General features: G+C 41.2%; 1 protein-coding gene across 10 annotated transcripts in view, besides 1 other annotated feature; it reads left to right on the plus strand.

The window, feature by feature from the left end:
- DPP10 (dipeptidyl peptidase like 10) overlaps positions 1-22,573 on the plus strand; it is a 1,403,140-nt gene that overhangs the window by 104,498 nt on the left and 1,276,069 nt on the right. The gene's annotated exons all lie outside the window — the stretch shown is intronic.
- Positions 7,754-7,940: a silencer, noted in NCBI's record as "fragment chr2:115312469-115312655 (GRCh37/hg19 assembly coordinates)". NCBI's record gives its function as "represses an EF-1alpha promoter that drives an FKBP-Casp9 reporter gene in an ReSE screen in K562 erythroleukemia cells {active_cell/tissue: K562}" and the evidence as "EXISTENCE:reporter gene assay evidence [ECO:0000049][PMID:32094911]".

Below are 22,573 nucleotides of genomic sequence, written 5' to 3' on the forward strand. Positions count from 1 at the left end.
CTGCAGTTGCTGCTTTGAGATTCTTCATAATTTTACTTTCGAATTTGTGGTTCATAAGTGAAGCCCAATGGGACGCTGGAGCAAGCCCTGGGTCGCTGGCCTTCTCACCTCCTGCTACTTCCACCCCTCCAGGGAACCACTTTGCTGCTCCTCCACTCCTGCCCAGTCACGGCTGCTGCTGCTGCCCCTGCAGGGTCTGGATGCAGGCATGGGAGGCATCGGGGTTGGCACCTGCTCCCAGGGAGTGTGACATTAAATAGCAAACAAAAGCACACCATGCAGGTCAAGAGGGAGACCACAGAAGAAAAGAAATAGCTTTTTTTTTTTCCTTTTTCCATAAAGCAGCTGCATTTTGATTTTGTCCTGGGCATCACAAATTTTGTAGCTGACCCTAGCTGTACAACTCTAGGAATGTTCCTTAGCCATTTGATTTTCTGTGTATCCATCAGAGTAATGGTTCAAGCAGAAAAGCACCCTAAGATATGCCTGTGTGTATGTGTTTATAAATATATAAATATTTGTGTGGATGTGTACTTATGCATATATGTGAGTCCAGTGCATACATAGGTGACATAAGACTTCAGAGATTGTTTAACTGCTTACAACAATAGTAGTATACCTTTACCAGCACAGGGCAGAATGGCTGTAAGAACTTCAAGGTTGCTGAACCTGTCACTGTGGAAGAGTGTAGAAATGGACCACTGGGCAGATATTCCCTCTTTAGGGGAGCACAGCTACTGCCACACTTTGACCCAGCAGGGGTGGGCTGGTGATTGCATTCACCGACTTTTCTCCTCTGATTCTCTCACCTCATGCTGGTGCCTTCTTCTGATAGAAAAAGGACCAGCAGCCCCACTGCAGGGACCACAGTTGACGTGGTCCCTGGAGGCCAGCCTTCCAGGGATGGAGTGGGGTGAGGAGGTTGGCTAGTAGATCTGTAGGGCAAATAAAGAATGCCCAGCTCACCTTTAGCAGGGTTGCTTTGAAGATTACATAAGATGAAATAAGTAAAACCCTTTATAACTGGAAAGACAGAGGCATCTATTATTACCGTTAAGATGATTCATCTCTATGGAGAAACTGGAGCAAGTTTGAGTTCAGGTAGTGGGATTGGAAGAGTAAAGAAAGTTCTGCGGCATTCCTGATTCCGTCATAGCACCATGCTCAGAAATGGTGATGTCATGTTAAGGTACAAAATAAAATTCCAGTGACACAGCCTCAAAATTAGTAACACAGAGATGGGGGTGTTGCGACATCTGGGTTCTCATTCTGGCTCTGACACCTTTCTGCAGAACAATCACACAAGTCACTTGCCTCCTCTCCTCCCCTCCTTACTCGTCTTTGAGAAGGGCGGGCTAGTTACAGGCTGCTTGTGAGGATTGGAGAGATATCTAGAAACTGCTCTGATACAAGCCACAGCTTTTATGAGCGAGTCTTTTCCTGGGCCAAGCATGGAAATCTAGGTTGGTGGGTCTCTGAAGCAGTTGGTTGTCCCTAAACAGCGACTTCATTTCCGGAGCTACTTTTTAAGTGTTGGTGAAAACACAAATAACTGGAGACTGTGAAGTCTTTTAGCGCCGGGACCTGTGGGGCAGTAACCTCCAACAGGTAGAGTGAAATGACATCCTTTCTCTCCACGCCTGAGTGTTCCTATGGCACCAGTTGCTTGTAATGGGTGAAGAAAAAATTGAACTCGTTTCTCCTGAGACACACATACGAAAGCTGACTCTAAGAAAGAAAAACTGAAATGTGGACCATCTTATTTAGTTCCAGTTAAAGAGAGATGTGTTTAAAGCACTCTGATGTGTGGCCTTAAAAAAGGATGGGGCTGCCTCTTAAGGCGGAATCACACGAGCACATAGAAATAAAAATCAAAGCAGTTATCATATTTAATTTTCTTACTGACTAGATTCATTTTGCATTAGCAGGGGATGGCGAAGGAGAGGGACTGGGAATGCATTATGTTCTTATTTGGGTCATTTCCTTGTGCTTTGGGGAACTTTCTCTTGTCAGCGTGCACATGCATGCCGGGGGTGGGCGTGAGCTGGCCCCATGCACTCACTGGCTTCTTTCTCGGTGTCGTATGACCCAGGAGGGAGTCTGCAGCATGGGGTGATTCTCCACATAGAGAGTCATTCACCACTCTCAACCCCGTCTCCAGGTACTTCCTGTGTTCATTTGAGAAGAGGCAGCTGACTTAAAGCCTCATTTCTAAGCAGACTATTAGAAAACATGTCCGCATAACCTGGAGCGGCAGCTCACGCCTATAGTCCCAGCATTTTGGGATGCCAAGGTGGGCAGATCACGTGGTCAGGAGTTCAAGACCAGCCTGGCCAACATTGGGAAACCCTGTCTCTACTAAAAATACAAAAATTATCTGGGCATAGTGGTGCACACCTGTAGTCCCAGCTACTCAGGAGGCAAGGGCAGGAGAATCACTTGAACCCAGGAGGCGGAGGTTGCAGTGAGCTGAGATTGTGCCACTGCACTCCAGCCTGGGCGACAGAGTGAGACTGTGTGTCAACAAAAAAAAAAAAAAAAAAAAAAGAGAGAGAGAAATAAATAAAAAAGAAAACATGTGGGTACAAACAGGAAGAGAGAGGGCGAGAGGGGCATCCTGGTTGGAGACAGCTGGACTCACACATGCACTTTGTAGCCACTCACCATAAAGGCAGCCCCAAAGGCTCTGAGAGCTGGAGGGGGTGTAAGAGATCCTATCCTGGAAAGCTCCCATTTCATACACAGGCAGACAGCCTGTGAGGTGAATGGGGTGACGTGGGGCTGGAAGAGAAGGGCAAGGGTCAAAGGAAAGCATTTTACCTCCTTTAGAAACCATCATGCCCCCAAACCTAAAACTTAGGGACCACCGCTGCCTTCATCCATTTGTCACCTAATTCTCTAATATTCCAGTCTTAGTATCTTTTGAGCCCATTTTATTCTTGCCCTGTCTATTGCCACTGCCTTAGCTTCTGGCCTCCCTCATTTTTCATTTAAATGACTGCAAGTCTTCACCCTCAGCTTTCTAAAATGCAGGTCCGGAGACTTTACTGTTCTTGCTATATTTCCTCAACATTCCCACACCATTCTCAAGACAAATCCCAAGGGTGTGAGCATAGGACAAAGGGCCCTCTCCATGATTTAACTGGCTTTTAAGACTCCAGTTGCACCACATTACATATTTGCCAGGCACAGTTCTAAGTTCTTTACAAATGTTAGATCATTTACTCCTCAAATAACCTTGGGTGATGTGTATTTTTATTGTCTCTACAGAGGAGAAAACTGAGACACAGAGAGGTTCAGTGATTTTCCAAAGGTCACACAGCCAGTAAGGAGCAGGGCTGGGACTTCGACCAGACATCTGCTGGCAGAGTCGGTGCTTTTAGCCCTGGCACCTGCTGGTGTGGAGTGCTCTGTATGAATCAGACCCTTCCTCACCTCTGGCACTGTACACAGGCTGTTTCCTCACTTTGAAGCAACCTTTGCTCCTTTCTTTGCCTGAGCATATTCTGTTTGTTTTTCCAGATTCACCTCAAGTACCACACAGTGTCTTTCATAAAACAAGACCCTGTCTTACTTGGTTTCTGTGACACATTATACCAGATTGAAATTACTGATTAATTTGTCTGTGTTTCCCCAGACAACCTGTGTGTCTCTCAAGGTTAGGGACAGTTTCTACCTTTCTCTCACTTGCAACTGAATCATGGGGGCACGGAATGAAGGATGGTGCAAATGGTCTTTCAATTCTTGTCTCTGACTGTTCAGATCAGACGAGTTACTTATCTCTGAGATGCTTTTTATAATAGAGGTAAACAGAGTTCTTCCTACAGCACAGCTATTGTGAAAAGCAAGTTAAATGATGACTATAAACCCATAGCCCTGGTCTGGCACATAATAGATACACCACAAAGCCCCCTCTGTTGAGTCAGTCTGGTGTCCTTGCAATCCATCCTCCACTACACTCATTTTTTTCTAAGCTCATTTCTCCATCTGGACTCATGCTTGCTATCAAGGATGATCTCCCCACTTCTACCATCACAATTATAAAAATTCAAATCCACCTGTCCACTAAGCCTTCCTTAACTGTGTAGCTCGCTTTGGTCTCTCCCTGTTTCCTAAAACATATTCTCAGTGTCAACATTCTCTGGAATGGTCCCCATCATGCCCGCTGCCCCCCTGCCTGAAAATTTTGACTGTGGATTTATGTCTCTTATATTCTCAATGAGGTTGTATCCTCTCAAGTGATCAAGGCTATAATTTTTATTTCTTTACCATATTTACAACTCTAGGAGAATGACACGTGTTCTCCAAATAGTAAATACTTGCAGAGCTAAAGTGAATTGAAGTGAATTCCTTTCCCAGGTACTTTGCTGCCTCCTAGTGTTGTGGTGAGGCTCCAGGCTGAGAGAAGTTTCCTCTGAGCTCCAGCTCAGCCAGCACCCTTCTGAGTGATGAACACTGTTGCAGACCATAGACCTGAGACAGCTGGCTGCGGTTTGACACAGTTTAGAAGATGCTACTACATCAGAGGCCTCTCTTGTCCATTGGGTCCCTTGTAGTGGACCCCTTTGCTTTACTCCTGAACTGAGTATCAGTAGGGCATCTGTGCAGGGCTTTTAAAGACTTCTTTCCTCTCTCAAATACCTCCCTTCTTCCCAGTTTCTGACCTGGTTACTGTTTGGAGTTTTTAATTCCCTCTGATCTTAAGGTTATATTGCAGTTCATGTTAACATTCAAATACTATTGAGAAAAATAAAACATAAATTTTCCAGTTATCTAGATTGTAAATGAATTTATGATCCTGACGAGAAAAAGGCATGAAAGGTACCCACTCTATGAAAAAGTAAAATGGGGCCACGTTAATGAGACAGAAAGCACAAGAAGCAGAAAGCCTTGTGTATGTCATAGATTAACCAGAAGTTGTTTCGGCTAGGTACCGGCAGAGACAACATGGTACAGTGGAAGGAACATGGATTTTGGTGTAAACACTGAATTCAAATCCCAGCTTTTTCAGCTGTTAGCTCTGTGGTGTGTTAAGTCTCTCAGATCCTCAGTTTTGTTGCCAGTGCAGTAGGGCAGCGATGCGTAGCTCAGAGTGTGTCATGAGGATTGGATGAGACAATATATGCCAAGGCAATTAATACGATGCTAAGGGGTTTGTGTTTTTGAAATGCAAAGAGTTTAGTTTTGTATTGATTCCCATTACAAGTTTGCTCCTGTATTTTCCGGCTGTCTAGTCCATTCACACATCTTCATCTCTTAGGGAAAAGACATGGTGTCTTTAATGTTCTCTGAATTAGCACAGTGCCTGGCACTTAGGGTTGTAGTAACAATTATGGAATAAACGTAATGCCTACAGCTAAAGATGCTGAAACTCTGTGACTTTCCATTATACATTCTTTTTTCTTTCTCTTTTTCTTTTTTTTTTAGACCAAGTCTTACTCTTATTGCCCAGGTTGCAGTGCAGTGGCCCCAACTTGGATCACTGCAACCTCCGTCTCCCAGGTTCAAGCAATTCTCATGCCTCAGCCTCCCGAGTAGCTGGGATTACAAGTGTCCACCAACACACCTGGCTAATTTTTTTATTTTTAGTAGAGATGGGGTTTCACCATGTTGGCCAGGATGGTCTCGAACTCCTGACCTCAGGTGATCCACCCACCTTCGCCTCCCAAAGTGCTGGAATTACAGGCGTGAGCCACTGCACCTTGCCCATTATACATTCTTTCTATTCTCAGTTTTTATCTTTAATATTTTAGAGTCGGAGACTAATGACTCCCACATCAGCACCCCAATTAAATAGACTTTTTCCTGTTTATCACCTTTCCTTTAATTTCCTCATTCAAAGCATTATTCAGTTGTCCTCTCCTCTTGCTGCTTAAGCCTCTCACCAGCTCTCAGTCAATGCTCCCAGATGCAGCTTTCATTGCATGTGATGTTGTTTAATTTCACTTGTCTTATCTATAATCACATCAAGCCATTTATTTGTTAATAGGCTGTTTGGTGGCTTCACAGTTGGAATTGCTGTACATCACATTTCATTTCCACAAGGACATCCTTTATGCCGGTCTGCCTTATGTGGCATTCGTCTCTTCCTCTTGCCAGGCTGGGCCAGCTTCTCCCGCTGTACCTTCCACATCAGCTGTTCATTTTCCCCCTGCTGCTGTCACTGATAATTTCCAGGTTAAATCTTATAAGTGGAAATTGGATCCACAGCTGGAGTTGAAACGCAGCTCCTTGGAGTTATTACCACAGTCTGTTCCCGGGTAGGTGGGAAAGTTGAAGATGATAGATTTCCAGTGCCTGGGAATAACAATGCTGTCCCTCTAACCACAACTAAGGTGAGATTACTTTCCCCTGGGGAGAGCGATATTTTTACCTTTTCACTCTGAGTTTACATCAGGGGGATTCAAGAGAGGCGAGTGGTTTTTCAGTAGTTTTCTGTTATTTTATGAGAGATGAGTTAAAGTGATAATGTAGGCTGGACAGCAAATAAGTTATAAGTGATTGACCAGCCTTTTAGGCTGTCAGCTATCTCAAATAGAGGCTTTCTTTATTTTTTTTTCCACAGTAGAAACATTTGATTTATTTGATTCAAACAGTAGAAGTATGAGAGGATCAAATAAATAGGTTTGTTCAAGAAAAAAAAATATTTTAGTATTTCATGCTTTCAAAGCCTATGCCATAACCTTTGAATTATTCAGCAATAATTAATTCAACAACTATTTACTGAGCAGCTTCCACTGTTTCAGGATTGGAAATATCAGCGCAATAGATCACACAAGATTCCATCTTTTTGAAGCTGGGCTTCTAGTGGACAAGACTGATAATAACAAGACAAGATACATAAGATGATTTCCAATGTACTAGGAAGAAAAGAAAACAGGAAAATGTGAGACCATCTTGGGTGAGATCATCAGGAACAACTTTTCATAGGAGAGTTGATGTTAGTGAATCCATAATTGCTAAAGGAGATTTGAGTAATTAAAAGGGGTCCGGGTTGATCTATATCTCTATTTCTTTTCTCTCCATCCCATGCTTTCCTCTCTGACCCACCCCAGCCCCTAGTAACCATCCTGAGGTCAGAAATATCAAGATACCTTAAGGGGCTTTCTCCTTAAGATGTCAACAACATCCACTGAGGACTGAATAGAAGATGCCAGCGCTTGGCTCAGGTGCAGGGGATGGCAAGAGCTGAGCTCTGGGCTGTGAGGAGTTCTGGTTCTGGTCTGGCCTCATCACTGGGGCTGTGTCACCTTGGGCAGGTCTTGCCCCCTTTCTGGGCCTTAGCCTTCATTTTCATTTGTGAAGTCAGTGTGATCAGATGATGTATGAAATTTCAGAATCGTATAGAAGATAACCTACCTATTACCTTAAACAGTCCGCGTGGGAGGAGAAGGTAGCAATAGTTGACATGAGGTTGTGAGGGATCAAAATGAGGCTCTCAGTGCTACCCTACACCCCTCAACTTTGTCACACTGAATCTGACCTGGAAGGTACATGTAGGGACAGTTTCTTATAGAGAACACACTATCTAATAAGTGGAGACATGGCATGTCCTCAAAACATCTCCCTTATTGCCCATTCCGGGCTTTAACATCTGCCCCTTCCAATTACTTTGACTCTTCAAAGGTTTTCAGTGCACCTTAAATGGTTTGTACATCTTCTGCCCCCTTGGATACAACAGCATGCACGGACATTTGCTTTTCTGATTAATCCCTTTGCTACCACCCTCAACTCAAAGCATTACAGGTAGGAAAATGGACTCAAAGATATACAGGTTAATAAAGAGAAGAGGGGAAGAGCCAGGAGCACAAGCAGTGTCCACGGGCTGCTGGTCCCAGCCAGTGAGTGAGCAAACATAATGGACCTGGGCATCGAGGTTGGGAGAATGCTGAAAAAGAAATGCCAAAGTCAATTTAAGCCATGTTATCCTATTTCCTGGGATTGGTGCTGGGTACTGAACAGAGGCTCTCAGCCAACCCCTACCTCACCCAGAGCACAGTATAGAGTATAGACACTGTCTTGTACACACTCAGAATACAATAGTGATGTGTTTCTGTGTGCAGCCCTGGACTGTGTGAAGTGGCTTCTCCTGGACATGTCAACTCTCCTTGCTTGTGGCAGGACATCAAAATTGGTTAGACTGAAAGTGTCTAATGAGCTACTCCCATATGCCAAGCACCATTTTCAGCAACAGGGACTCAGCAGTGAACAAGACTGGCAAGATCTCCACCTTCAAGGGTCTTATATTGTAGTGGGGAAGACAGGAAAAAATAGGCACATAAAGAAAAGCAAATCAATACATTTCAGTTGCTGATGAAGAATGTAATGTGGATAAGAAATAACTGTATGGGTATTTGTGTTGCTTTACCCTGCATGATTGGGAAAGTCTCTCTGAGGGATAGATATTTGAGTTCATTCATTCAACAGAGATAATTAAGTACCTTCTATGCTGCAGGCCCTTTTCTAGGCAGAAAGGATTCATTAATGAATAAACCAAACAGCCCCATACACAGGGAGCCTTCTTTCAGCAAGAAGAGACAAAGAAAAAATATTTAAAGTGTAATTTTTTATAATAGGTATAATAAACTTCATATTTAATGATGTATAACTGATATATAGGAACAGTAATCATTCTTATTGCTTTATTGAGCAATGCACATCATATATAAGTGTAGTTGTAACCCAAATACTAAGAGGGTGGAGCCACTTAAAGATTTGGATAAAGCACGTCCCAAGAAGAACATAGTATCCTCAAGGCACAAGTAACATCCTATGTGATGGAACACTTGGGCCAGGAAGGCATGGATGGGAAGATAAGAGGTTGAAGAGAGAGCCAGGAGCCAGATCATCAAGCCTTGATTTCATCCAAGTTTCAAGGGAAAAGCCTGGGAAAGTTTTAAGGAGATGGCAGAAGGAATTGGAGAGATCTGATTTAAGGTTTAGAAGATTCTCTCTGGCAGTTGGTGGAGCATCAACTTAGGGACAAGAAGGGCAGCAGGGAGATGGGTGAGGGAGCTGCTACAGAGGTCTAGAAGAGAGAGGGTGGTGACTTGAACTAGGGCTGTAGCAGGAGAAACAGTGATACATAGATGATACATATATATATATATATATATATATATATATATATAGGCAAATAATAGATGATAGATGAGTAAATAGATAATAGATAGATAGAAATAGGTAGATAGATAGATGTAGACCTGACAGCGTAACTACTGAATTGGTTGTAGGATGGGAAGGAAAAGGAGAAATTAAGGTTTTCCCCTAGGTTTGGCCTGAAGAGTTGGGTGAATGTTGGGGCCATTTATAGAGAGAAGGAAGACTTTGTGGGTAGTGAAGAGGGAATTTGGAGGACACAAGTAAATAAATAGCTCAGTGTGAGCCTTTTACAGTTTGACTTTATACAGTATGCAAATGAGGATGTGAAGTAAATAGATATGAGACTACAGTTTTGAGGAGTGGGGCTGGTATTTGGAAGGCATCAGTGGTGAAATGGCATTTAAGCTAGGGGGAGGATGAGAGCAACTAAAGAAAGTGTATACATAGAGAAGAGGTTTGAAGACTGAGTTCTGGGACATTTTCAGATTTGGAGGTCTAATAGATGATGGAGTCCCAGCAAAGGAGGGCAAGAAAGAGTGGATTTTGACAGAGGAAGAAAACTGAGTGTAGCATAGTAAAATTCTAGATTCATGGGAAATGTTGCTGAAAAGGTAAGATGACAGAGAATTAAACATTTTCCTTGAGAAGGGATACAGTTACCGATTACCTTTAAAGAGTGTGGTGGAGGACCAAAACCAACTGGAGTGGGGTGAGGAGAAAAAATAGAAATTAGGGAGTGTCAACAGATAGCAAAGACAGCTTTTTTTTTTTTTTTTTTTTAAGAATTTTGCTTAGAAGTAGAGAAAAGTGCTATTTGTTGGATCTCTAGTTGGAGTCAAGAGTTAAAATAAATTATAGAACAATATGTAATCATAAAGAGGTGAGAAAAGTGTGGATGAATGCTGTGGCTTCCTTTTTCTCTCTAGTAGTAGTCCCTAGTTGGTCTGCAATGAACTTTTGCAAGAACGAGAGTGGGGAAGACTCTTCATGAGGCTGATAGGCTGTAGCTCTCATGGTTTGTCTTTAACCCACAGGTAGTGAGCAAGCCATTTGCTCTCAGGGAAAATGTGGCTTTCCTGACAGCCCCAGATGATCCATCTGTCTCTGCAGCCTATAGGTGGGGCATATTGGAAACAAAGCATTTAATAAAATGTAATAGTTGTGACTCGGGACATAGAAGAGGCAGATTGAAAGAGAAGTGGAGACCAACACGCCATCTTTCCACATAAATGGCTTCAGAAAGCTGCAGACTCAGAGTGGATTTGTTCGTGCAATCCTCACCTCTCCTACTAGTTAACAAGTCGGCAAGCCAGCAGTGAGGGTTTGGTTTGTACCCTCAGTTATTAACCATTAGTATTTGTGTCATGTGCTTTTGCCTGGGAAGGTGTCCAGAGATTGGAGAGTAGTGTTCAGTCTTCAGTGGGTAGAAATTGATCAACTGTAGAAAGAAATAAGTTATCATGGATATGTACATCAGCTGTGTCTTGTTTCTAATGGCTCGGCTCGCGACTAGCTGAAACAATGAAAGGAAAAAGTGTGGGTAATTTTCAAGTAATTGATGTATTTGGGGCTCATGTAGGCCACAATCATGATAGTCACCTAATTTGATCCTTATCTCAGAGCCAAATCTTCTCACAGAGTTGTTGACATGGGATGTATTTTGATCTTGATTTTGGAGTCTTGAATTCTTTTTCCAAATGTTCATTCTTCTCCCTCTGTATGTCCCTCAGCACTAGATTTTATCATCAGGCACAGAACATCTTTCTGAGTAATCTCTTCCATACTCCAGGTGGCGAATTAAAAACTATGTGAGGATGACTGGAAGTAAAACATTTAGGCAGTACTTGCTGCTCTGGAGACATTCAAAGAACAATAAACACTTCTAATGTAGTATTTACTGACCTCCAGAAGTGATAGCTGATAGTGAAGACAGAGTGCCCGGGCGCTCCAGGCTATTGCTCCATGTTGAGATTGGCTGAGAGGTCTTCGGAAGTCCTCAGATTGAATGGTAGTTTCACTTTAAACCAAGCAAAAATTGTCATCAAAATTCATGACTCTCTCCTACCCCAGCTTTCCTCCAACTAATTGGGCTCTCTTTCTGGTCTTGAATGCATCGAGTTTTTATTTGTCTCAGTGCCTTTGCACTTTCTGCTCTCTCTACTACAAAGCCCTTCCCAGGGCCCTACACATAGTTGGTTAGCACATTCTCGTCTTTCTGGCATCAACTTAAATACCGTCCCCATAAGGAGATAGTCTTTGAACAATCAATTTAAAGTAATCCATCCATGCCTTTTATTTTCTTTATGACACTTATCTCAACTTTGTTCATTTTGTGTCTCTTCCATCAAACAAAAAGCTCCTCTAAAGCAGAAATTTTCATCCTTCCTGCTCTATGCTGAGTGCCCAGCCCAATGGCAGACACAGCTGACACTCAGTAAATATTTGTTAAACAAAATGGCAAGTGTGAGTGCTGTAGAGTATTATATGTTTAAATATTAATTTCAAAGATTTTTAAGACTTTTGTTGACTTCTTCAACACATTCTCCTCCCATGCTATAAGCATCTGGGGGCTCTTTTCCACCTCTTCCCTCTCCCATCACAATGTCTGACACATAACAGATACTAAACAAATATTTGTGGTATCCATGAGTGATTCCAATTAATTTGTATTGGGTATTTCAATATAGTCATAAGTACATCTCCATGTCCAAGTATATCTCCATGCCCAAGTATATCTCCATGTCCGAGTACATCCCCATGTCCAAATACATCTCCATGTCGACATACGTGTCCATGTACAAGTACATTCAAGTACATCCCCATGTCCCACATACACCTGAGGATACCGAAGCTTAGTGTGGTGGGCAGAATAATGCCCCTTCCTCATAGATGTCTATACCCTAGTCCCTGGGACCTGTGCACATTGCCTTGTATGGAAAAGGGATTTTGCAGATGTGACTCAGGTAAGGATCCTGAAATGGGGGGATTATCCTGGATTGTACTGTTAGGTACAATATAATCACAAGAGTCCCCGCATGAGGGAAGCAGGAAGGTCAGAACCTGAGAAGAGGCAGAGGTCAGAGTGATGCAGTTGCTCCCTGGAGGACACAAGTGAAAGAATGTGAACAACCCCTAGAAGTCAGAAAAGGCAAAGAAATGAATTCCCCCTTAGAGATTCCAGAAGGAATGAAATCTTAGTGACATTTTGATTTTAGCCCACTGAAATCCATTTTGGACTTCTGACCTTCAGAGCTGTAGATAATACATTTGTGGCATTTTAAGCACTAATTTTGTGGTAATTTGTCACATAAGCAACAGGAAACTCATACACTTAGTTCCTCACATTGAACCCTACCCACTCTAGCTCTCTCGCCATCCCTGTTCCCTATTAGCTAGATTCCCCAATTCACACACCTGGAATCTCCAGAGAGGGAGTTCTAGAGTGTGGGACTCTCCCACCAATCTGTGTGGATCATGAGTAGGTAGATCAGAGATCCATGGAAGGCCATCAAGACCATCAGTGGTTGGAGTAGGTCATGAACGTGATAGGGCCTTGAGGGTGAGTAGTTACTCCTCTCCCAATTTGGTAAAGAATAAACTTCTTCCAGGAAAATCACAGATATTGTCATAGACTGCAAGAAGAAAAAAAGCAAAAAAAAAAAAAAAAAAAAACAAAGGAAGGAAAGAAGAAGGAAAGGACAGAGAGAATTATGACTGTGTTGTGTCTTTCTCTGATACACACTCCTGGAGCTTCTCCAAGCCTGTACTTGCCTTCTATGCCATATGCAAATGCTGTAGAATGATTTCTTTCAGTGCTAACTTTATTTAATTCTATCATCATGGTTTTTACTTTAGGAAATTTTGGTTCCAATAGTTTAAGAATAACATGGAACTGACCTTAGAAATTGTCTAATCCATATTGTGACTGGCATTATGAAAAAGCTATTATTGGTGAACCATGGACTGCCCTGTGGGAGTTGGGAGGAGAAGGAGGGCAGAGGGGCAGAGTGGAAGAGGAGAAGCATTCACAGATGAATTCAAGGTCTTTGCATAAATGTGAGGTTTCTTACCACTATAATTTTTTTTAAATAAAATTAAAGAAGCAAGCAAGCAAACAAAACAAAGAGAAGATGGTTCCTGAGGACAGGTGTTTTATCTAAGACATGTTGGATGCCCAGGATCTCCTTATTAGGACTTAGGATATTAGGCCACAGAAACCAAAGATTTGTGAGGGAGAAGTTGGGGACCAGTGTCAGGTAGTCAGGCCTTTGCTGGTAGGAAGATGGGGCTTACATACCCTATAGCCACACAGGCTTGGCACTGGTCCTGGGTGAGGAGAGAGTGGGGCCCAGGTATAGGCCAGCCAGGCTTCCCCAGATGATGCGTCTGTACTTTCCAGTCTCACTCTGCTCCCCTCACCACCTCTCCACACAAGCCTCAGTTCTCAGTCACTAAGCAGCATTGAGAGGCAATTACAGGGTGCAGAACTCTGCCCGGGCTCCTGGAAGAAAAGAATATGTGCCATACTGTGCTAATGCAGGCTCTTCTATCATGCCTCTAATAAATGGGTTCAATAAATAAATGGGTTCTATAAATGGGTCCACAAGCGTATGTTTGATTCACTATACTTCATGTTGTCATTTTCGCTGGCTCCTTGGGGAGAAGTCTCATGCTTCAGGGAAAGGCACGATTCACCAGAAGCCCCACCTCAAACTTCCTTTTTGTTTTTGTTTTTAAAAATGAACTTTTGTGTTCTCACAGCTCCATCCAGCAGGGAATCCTAAGGAAGCTCTGAGGAGAGCCACAGCACCCCCTTTCTCCTGCCTGGGTGTCTCCTGTCCCTCCACACCAGCTCCGTCCGCTCCTTTAGTTTGGAATATTTCCTTAACAGACCTGTAGGCTCTGCCTCCCTACTCCCTCCTAAGCCCTCATCCGCAATCCACATGTCTGACCTCTCCAAATAGATTACTAGTTCAGTTGGTTGCTGGACATCTTAGCTCTCTTGCTATCCATATGATATTGGACAAGGAGAAAGACAGGGTTTTTCTTTGTTTTTTGTTTAAGGAGAAAAGTGATATAAATGCCCCTAGTCCTTGTCAAGTTTTATGTTATTATCCTTTCCTCAAAATAGAGCACACATGCACACACCACATACACATACCACATACATCTGCACACATGTGCACATAAACACCCACACACGTACACACCACATACACATACACACACGACACACCACAAATACATGTGCACACATATACAGAAAGTTTTTGCTGTAGATATGTCATTCCTTTAGCAACTATTTTACACTTTTTGGAGTCTTCTCTCACTATTAGAAAGAGCTTTGCGGTTTACTTTTAGAGAAAAAATCCACCTCCTCCTTTAGCATCTAGTCATCAGTTGGGAGACAGTTTTTTTTTTTCCCAATTAGAAGGAAAAAAATTCCAAGTCTATTTTAGAAAAGAAATAAATATTCTCTTTCTCAAAATGCATTTTCAGCCAAAATATGCCATCTGGGGGATGTTAGAAATTTCAGTCAGTTTATCTTTATAAACTATTGAAGCTGCACCTGTTATAAATGGCCTCTGACACAAAACATTCTAGAAACTTCGAAAACAACATTGAACATGACTTCTTGACTACAGATTTAAACTTATTTCATCATACGTGCTTCACAGACAGTGAGCTATAAGGTGTTTAATTAGGGCACAGCAGTCATTTAATTTAGCAGTTAAATAACTTCAACTAAGATAACGGGTTAATTTTGAGGAGAGTGATAAACTCCACTCCCTAGGTCTTGTTTTATTGGACTATGGGGCTTAGCCCTTAGCACTGGATTGGCTTGGGAATTTATTTACTGATGAATTCAACCAATATTACAGGTACTTTTTTAAAGGCAGTCAGCTGAAAGTTGGAGGAAATTCTGTTTCAGATTCTAAGAAAATAAACAAATCTGCTCACCTTCCACTCTATGCTACCTTTTCTATTTTGAGAGAATAAACCTCTAAATCTTTAGACTTTTATGAAGAACACTTACCATCATTTGAATGTCTCTCTTCATTTCCAGTCTATTCTGAAAGTATCTTCCTCCCACCACTAGGCTTTAGTAAATATTTATAACCCAATCATCTCAAGTCCATTGGACTCCATCACTGGTATGTTTCAATTATTTAAAGTCAGAATAGCATCTTCTGGGCAGCTAATGACGTCTCAATAGATATACATTATCGAAACATATTGTTATTTACTTAATAAATCAAGCCTGTTGGGGAAAGTAGATGCAATTCAAGTACCAGAAATGAGGAATAATGATGGCATAGATCATTTCTGAATCACTCTAGCCCATTTTACAGCCTGTAAAGTACACTGAATTCCATAAAAGTGACAAATGGTACAACATTGTAATAAATAGCTATAGTTTGTGCATTGTGAATTGGAGCTTAGATTCATATTGAAACTCTCTGTCAAAAAAGAAGAAGATGAATTAAGTATTAAAATCATACTCTGTAAAAGGAATTATATATTTTCCATTTATCTTGATTTATTATATGACATCATGTGCTTAAGTATATGTAACCTTTCCAAATTGAGTTGATTTAATGTGAAGGGAAAAAATGTTAAAAAAGAAAATTTGGTGTATGTTTAGAATTTTCTTTATTTTCCTGCTATATTTTTATAAAACTTTTAACTGTTCCATGGAAGCTTAATCATATTACATTTTTTAAGTTGAATTCCCAGAAATATGCAATAACATCTACAGGGCTTATTAAGAACAAATGTGCTAAATCACAATTAATATGACTGTTTTTCATTCAAATTTCAACGTTTGCATATTAAGAACACATAAAACTGGCTGGGCGCAGTGGCTCACGCCTGTAATCCCAGTACTTTGGGAGGCCAAGGCGGGCGGATCATAAGGTCAAGAGATGGAGACCATCCTGGCCAACATGGTGAAACCCCATCTTTACTAAAAACACAAAAATTAGCTGGACATGGTGGCCGGCACCTGTAGTCCTAGCTACTTGGAAGGCTGAGACAAGAGAATCACTTGAACCTGGGAGGCAGAGGTTGCAGTGCACTGAGATGGTGCCACTGCACTCCAGCCTGGTGACAGAGCAAGACTCCATCTCAAAAAAAAAAAAAAAATTCCAAAACTTTCAGTGAAATATTAGCTGTATGAAGAGAGTGACTACGCTGAAGGGTGAATCTAGACTTCCAAAATGACAGACCGAGGAATGGGCATGCCTTGAATTTTTCCAAATTTCCTGGAATTTAAGTGATACATCTACCGTTCTATTTATCATTGAAAAATAATTCTTAGAGGAATAAGCACATGTAAACAATATTCTATTGACATCTGCTATTTACTCCCTCAAGTTAACAATACAGCCACAAAATGATTAAGATGAACAAACCCAACTCTTACTGCATTGCTTCCTAAGGAGATGAAGTGGTTTTTCTTAGGCATGTGCATTGGCTCCATTTTTTTTAAAGTTGGTTTGCAGCACACTTCAGGAGGCCAGAAGCTAAACAAGCAAGTGTGAGCGTTAGCCTGTAGGAAAGACAAAGGCACAAAGTGAGGAAAAGAAATGTGTCTTGGTCACCCTCACCTTTCCCGGTGTCCAACTGACATTACACCATCTCTCTGTCCTCTGCTCATCTGCCTCTTGCATGTTGCATTCTTGAAGCTTTCCTCTGTCATTTTGCTAATTTCTGGGATGGAGCTCGCAGCTCACCCGCTGGGATAGCAGGAGAATGGGTGTGAAGTATCAAGGGCTGGGTTGGCCACAATGTCCTCCTTCGCCTTCCAGCAATCGATTCCTTTGTGCTCCATTTTTTCCAAGTGTATCAAATGGATCCAACGCTGTCCTGTGCGGAGTAAAAGAGGTATTCTAATGATATTCTAATGGTATTCAAATGATATTCTAATGGGAGGTGTAATTTTATGAATACTTCTTGCATCTCATCTCCACAATTAAAGCATAAATTTTTTGGTTTGAATTCTGTCAACAGAGACTATTCACTAGGCCCCTTCTCTACACAAGGCTAAGTTGCTATATATGTCCTATTTTATATAATTATCTAACCAAGCAGAAACGTAAATATATATCTTCATTTAGCTTATGAAGGAAATAATTTCCAAGCTCACTAAGACCATAGCAGAGGAGAAAGACTCAAGACCATGGTTGTCTGATGGCAAAGCACCTACTCTTCCCCCTATTTCATATTGATTCTCATTAACAACTAAGGTTATTTAGAAACTATATATTCCATGATATAAGGTACCCGGCAGATCACAGGCCTTCATAAAAGTTTTAAGTTAATAAATCAACCACTGAGGGAAAAGGTTTTTTCTCTGAAGTCCTGGGTTTTCCACTGGTACCAAGGTATTAATAGTATCTTATACATAGTAGACATAAGGGAAAGGAAAATAGAGGAGAAAAGGAAAAAAAATTGGGGAGAAATGAGGTAGATGAGTGAAGGAAGATGAATGAAAAGAAAGACAAAAGGCAAAGCAGGGAAGGAGAAAGAATATCTCAGGAACGATTTCTGTTCCAACCATTGATAAACTGGTACAAGGAGTCTACTGCTCTCAGGCTGTGGTGCACTGTTTGTTTTGTTTTTGAAATTATAATGAAAGAAGAGAGAGATTTAAAGATCTTCACTCACCAGAAAAGTTTTGTCTCCTTTCATCCATTAATAATTTTATTTAATTTCAATCACTTAGAGTGGTGTGGACTAAGGATGCTCTTATTGCCTTCAGGGAACACTGCAGAGGCCTGGAATGAGTTATATAAGCAATATACAAGCAAATGTCAAGTGTAAGCCTCCTCTAAGCTCAGTGGGGCCTCGTGATGGAGGTTATAGCAAGAATGGCTGTGAGCCTCTGGTTCAAGAAGGGCTAATCCTGGCTGTGTTCCTGTTCTGCCAAGACAGGAACTCTGTCACTATCTCCTTAGCCTTAGTGGACTAGAGCATTAGCTCTTGTATTTTCTTTTGCACAACAGCTGCTGGGCTTCTCTTTTAGGCCTCAAAATGCCTGGTATAGTGCGTGACATGAAATAAGTCCTCAGCAAATACCTATTGGATTGGATTGATTAAGTGGGAAAGAATGGAGTAATGGCTTTGTCTTACCACATTGCCCACCTGATCTGTTCTTTCTTTTTGTCCCAAGCACTTAAAGCATTCTTATTGAGTCATGGTGACAAGCTACTCTCTGGATAAGGCTTCTTGAAATGGATTTTAGTCAAGCTTAGCACCAACGGCCATTAGGAAGCCAACAACACAACACATTTCTCCTCTGTACTTCGCAGATTATTTAGTGAACTCAGCCATGCTTCCCTTGGAGGAGTGAAAACAGACATGGAAACTGGGGTGAGGCACACAGCGCAGCATACTTCTGTCCTGGTGTGGACCTCTGCATGAAGAAATGTGATGTGCTAAATAAATTCCTATCCCCAGGAGGCTTGTCTTCTTATCTCAGACCTGCCACCTATAAACTACGTGACTTCCTGGTGTTATAATTTACTCTTCTTGTGCCACAGATTCCTTGTATTTAAAGTGGATATTTGCTAAGTGTCTGCTATGGGTCAGGTGCAGTGCTAGGCACACATGGACACTTAACTCATAGAATAGATTCATTCATTCATTCATTCATTCATTCAATGTATATTATTAAGTACCTCCCTCTGTGTTCCAGACACTATTCTGGTTACTAGAAATACTGCAATGAACAAAACAGATAAAAATAAAATATCTTTACCCTTATGGGGGTGGATGTCTATAATTCAGACATATGAGAAATGGACTCTGTGTTCAGTAGCCATGAATACTAAAGAGAAAGAGAAAGCAGGCGAGGGAGACACAATTTTCAGGGGTTCAGGTTCAATTATCAGAAGCGTTTTTTCCTTATCTCTTGTCTTTAGATAGCCTGCTTGGGAGACAATTCACTGAGCAAACCATGCCACTGTCAGGAAGAACATTCTGGGCTCAGGGACCAGCAAGAGCAAAGGAGCTCAGCCATATTAACGACTGTGCCAGGATATTTTACTACACAGTGAAAAACACTGTTTAAAATAATGAGGCATTATCACAGAAAAAGAAATGATCACATTTAAAAAAATAAATTTGTATGTAGAAATAATTTTATATGTGCAAGAAAGTTGCAAAGAGAGTGCAGAGAGTTCTCACATGCTCCTCGACATCTTCTTTTCATTAGCATTTTGCGTTATCATGGTGTATTTGTCAAAACGGAGAAACCAACTAAATTATGATCCTGCTGGTTTCTCCACTAATGTCCTTTTTCTGTTCCAAGATCTAATCCATAATACAAAATTATATTCAGGAAAGTCCATTTTAAACTTAGGTGTTAAGTTTTATTTTTAATTCTGATTGAATGCTATTTCCGTGTACCAGGTAGCAGTTGAAAGGCAGTTGGCAAATACTTGTTAGGCCACCAAGTCTCCCTTAAGTGAGTCACACACAGCAGGAAGAACACCAGGCAGGTGGTCTAGAGTCCTGGGTCTTCATCCCAGCTCTTCCTCAACCAAACATGTGTCCTTGGACAAGTTTTCCTCTGGAGCTGAGGCAGATTTCTTCTGTACAAAATTTAGAAATTTAGGTTAGATTTGTAAGATCCCTCCAACCTCTTAAATTCTGCCCTGGCATTATCATGGCATCAGTATCTTCATACTCAGAAGCATCAAAAATTATGTGACTGATTTCCCTAATGCCAAACGTTGGTTCATTACAGCACCAGAGTGGGCTGAGAGAGCTTCAGCACAACCCTTGCCTCTGACTACCATACTCCACTCCAGGCTCCCTCCTTCCTATCTCCCATCCTCCAACAGCTGGCTCCAGACAGTAGGTGTTAACGGCTGAGATCACTAAATGAATAGGAACTATTCTTAGTATTTTACTTGTATTTCTTATAAACACCCTTATGAGGCAGGTACAATTTTTTTGGCTTATCTATCTTGGTAGACAGAATAATAGCCCCCTAAAGATGACCTTGTTGAAATCCTCTGAAGCTGTGAGTATGCTGTCTTACAAATCTCACATCTGCAAAGGGATTTTGCAGATGTGATCAAAGTAAGGATCTTTTTTCCTTAGTTGGAGATTAGAATATGGGGAGATTATCCTGGGGAGATAGGGAGTTATTCTGGTGGGACTGATATAATCATAAGGGTTGTTTTAAGAGGGAGGCAAGAAGTCAGAGAGCAGAGGAGAGGCTACATTGCTGATTTTGAAGATGAAGCAAGGGGCCATAAGCCAAGGAACGTATGAGGCATCTAGAAGCTGGAAAAGGTAAGGAAACAGATTCTTTCCTAGAGTCACCAGCCTGTGACATAATAAAATTACATTTTTTAAAGCTACTACATTTGTAGTAGCATATTGGCATATTGGTTTCTACATTAGTAGTAATTTGTTACAACCTCAATAAGAAATCAATATGCCCATGAAAGTTAAAAGAATGTGTCCAGAGCTGGAAGGCATTATCCTCAGCAAACTAAGGTGGTAACAGAAAACCAAACACTGCATGTTTTCCCTCAGAATGGGCACTGAACAATGAGAACTCACGGACACAGGAACGGGAACAACACACACTGGGGCCTGTGGGAGGTCGGGGACTGGAGGAAGGGAGAACATCAGGAAAAATAGCTAATGCATGCTGGGCTTAATACTTAAGTGATGGGTTGATCGGTGCAGCAAACCACTATGACAGATGCTTACCTATGTAACAACCTGTACATCCTGCACATGTACCCTGGAACTTAAAATTAAAAAAAAAGAGAGAGAGAGATACTGTAAAAAAAAAAAAAAAAAAGTGTCCAAAATTGGGTAACTGGTAAGTGGTTCAGTCTAGATTTGAGCATAGGCCATACTGCTTCACTAATGTAATGAAAAGGCCTTCCCCATAGTTTTTTTTCTTTTATTGATACACACTATTTTATATATTTATGGGGGCACATGTGAGTGTTGCATGCATAGAATGTATGATGATCAAGTCAGGGTATTTGGGGTATCTACCACTATGAATATTTATCATTTCTATATGTTGGTATAAAGTTCTAACTTCTGGTTACTTTGAAATAATCAAAATACGATTGCTGAGTATAGTCACTCGTGAATGGAACTGGAGGTCATTATGTTAAGTAAAATAAGCCAGGTCTATAGGCTTTTTGTGATGCTTGAACGAAGTACACAGAGAATGCAATGCTTAGAACACACAAATATCATTGAGTTCTGTAGTTACCACAACAATTTGTGGCTCTAGTCCACGATTTCTCAATCCTGTCACACTCACCCACCCATCCCATTATCGCCTCAATCCCGAGCCTCTGTCCTCGGATCTGACCTGTTTGACTTTTGTAAGACGACAATCAGAATTACAGTGTCAAAAATGACCTCATGCAATTGTACAGCAACTTATGCTATTCACCTTGCATAAGTAAACGCGATCATATTTAGTTTTGAGTCAAACATCCTTGGGAATGAGTTAAAGAATGATTCGCCTTTGCTGTAGGTGTACCTATCCCTCTCTCTTGCTCTTTCTGTTCATTTGCCTTCTGCATTCTACCTATTCTTACATGTTTGTCTCTGTATCACCAAATCTATTTTGGTCCCTTCACTTCAGCCTATTTCTTGTTTTTGTAGCAGTCCAGAACAAAGCTACAATTTATTATTTAATACATAAATAGAATTTATGTGTTTTTAATATAAAGATCAGAACTGTAGGAGGTTTTATATTTTCCTTAAAACTCCAGGCAAACAAGATTTTTGACTAAATTGCTTTTTTATATATGATTCTGCTTTTTCTCATCTTATATGTTAATAGTCTTGGGTATGAAAAGTACTTAAATTTAGAGACATGGTAATTTAGAGACAGAGGCCTGGTTTAGATATGCTGACTTTTTAACACTGAGAAAGTCTCTTAGAGTCCCTGAAGATGAAAGTGTAGATTTTAGTTACTAATTCACCTCTTGTGCTTGTTATCCATATGAGGAGCTGGTAAGGGACAAATCCTGCAAGAGTGAGAAAAAGCACCCATTTTTCTATTTGCTCTACATTTGGGCTTAAATTGCTGCTAAGTCATTCCCCGAGGGAAATCTGGAGTGAGTGCATGTTACAAATAAACACTCCCAACTTTGCTTTCCACAGCCTCAGCATTTTCAGCTCCATAAGAGACGCTCTGAACAAGCAAATGTGCTTTTAACTTAGCTCTAAAATATGTCCTGATAGGTGGGAGCTATTTTTAAGACAACAGCAAGGACCCGGCAGACTGATATTTGCTGGAACCCAAATTGCCTCACATCTTCTCTGACTTTGCCCAACAATGAGGCCCATCAGGTTATTATTGTCCCCTGAGAAAATATATTTTGCATTGCACTGTATGTTACTGCTCCCCTTAAAGATGTTGGACATTTTTAAGCTGCGTAATGAGGAAGAGAAAGTGGGTGGCAGGATAAAG

The sequence above is a fragment of the Homo sapiens genome, chromosome 2 (assembly GCF_000001405.40).
Source record: "Homo sapiens chromosome 2, GRCh38.p14 Primary Assembly".
NCBI classification, from domain to species: Eukaryota; Metazoa; Chordata; class Mammalia; order Primates; family Hominidae; genus Homo; species Homo sapiens.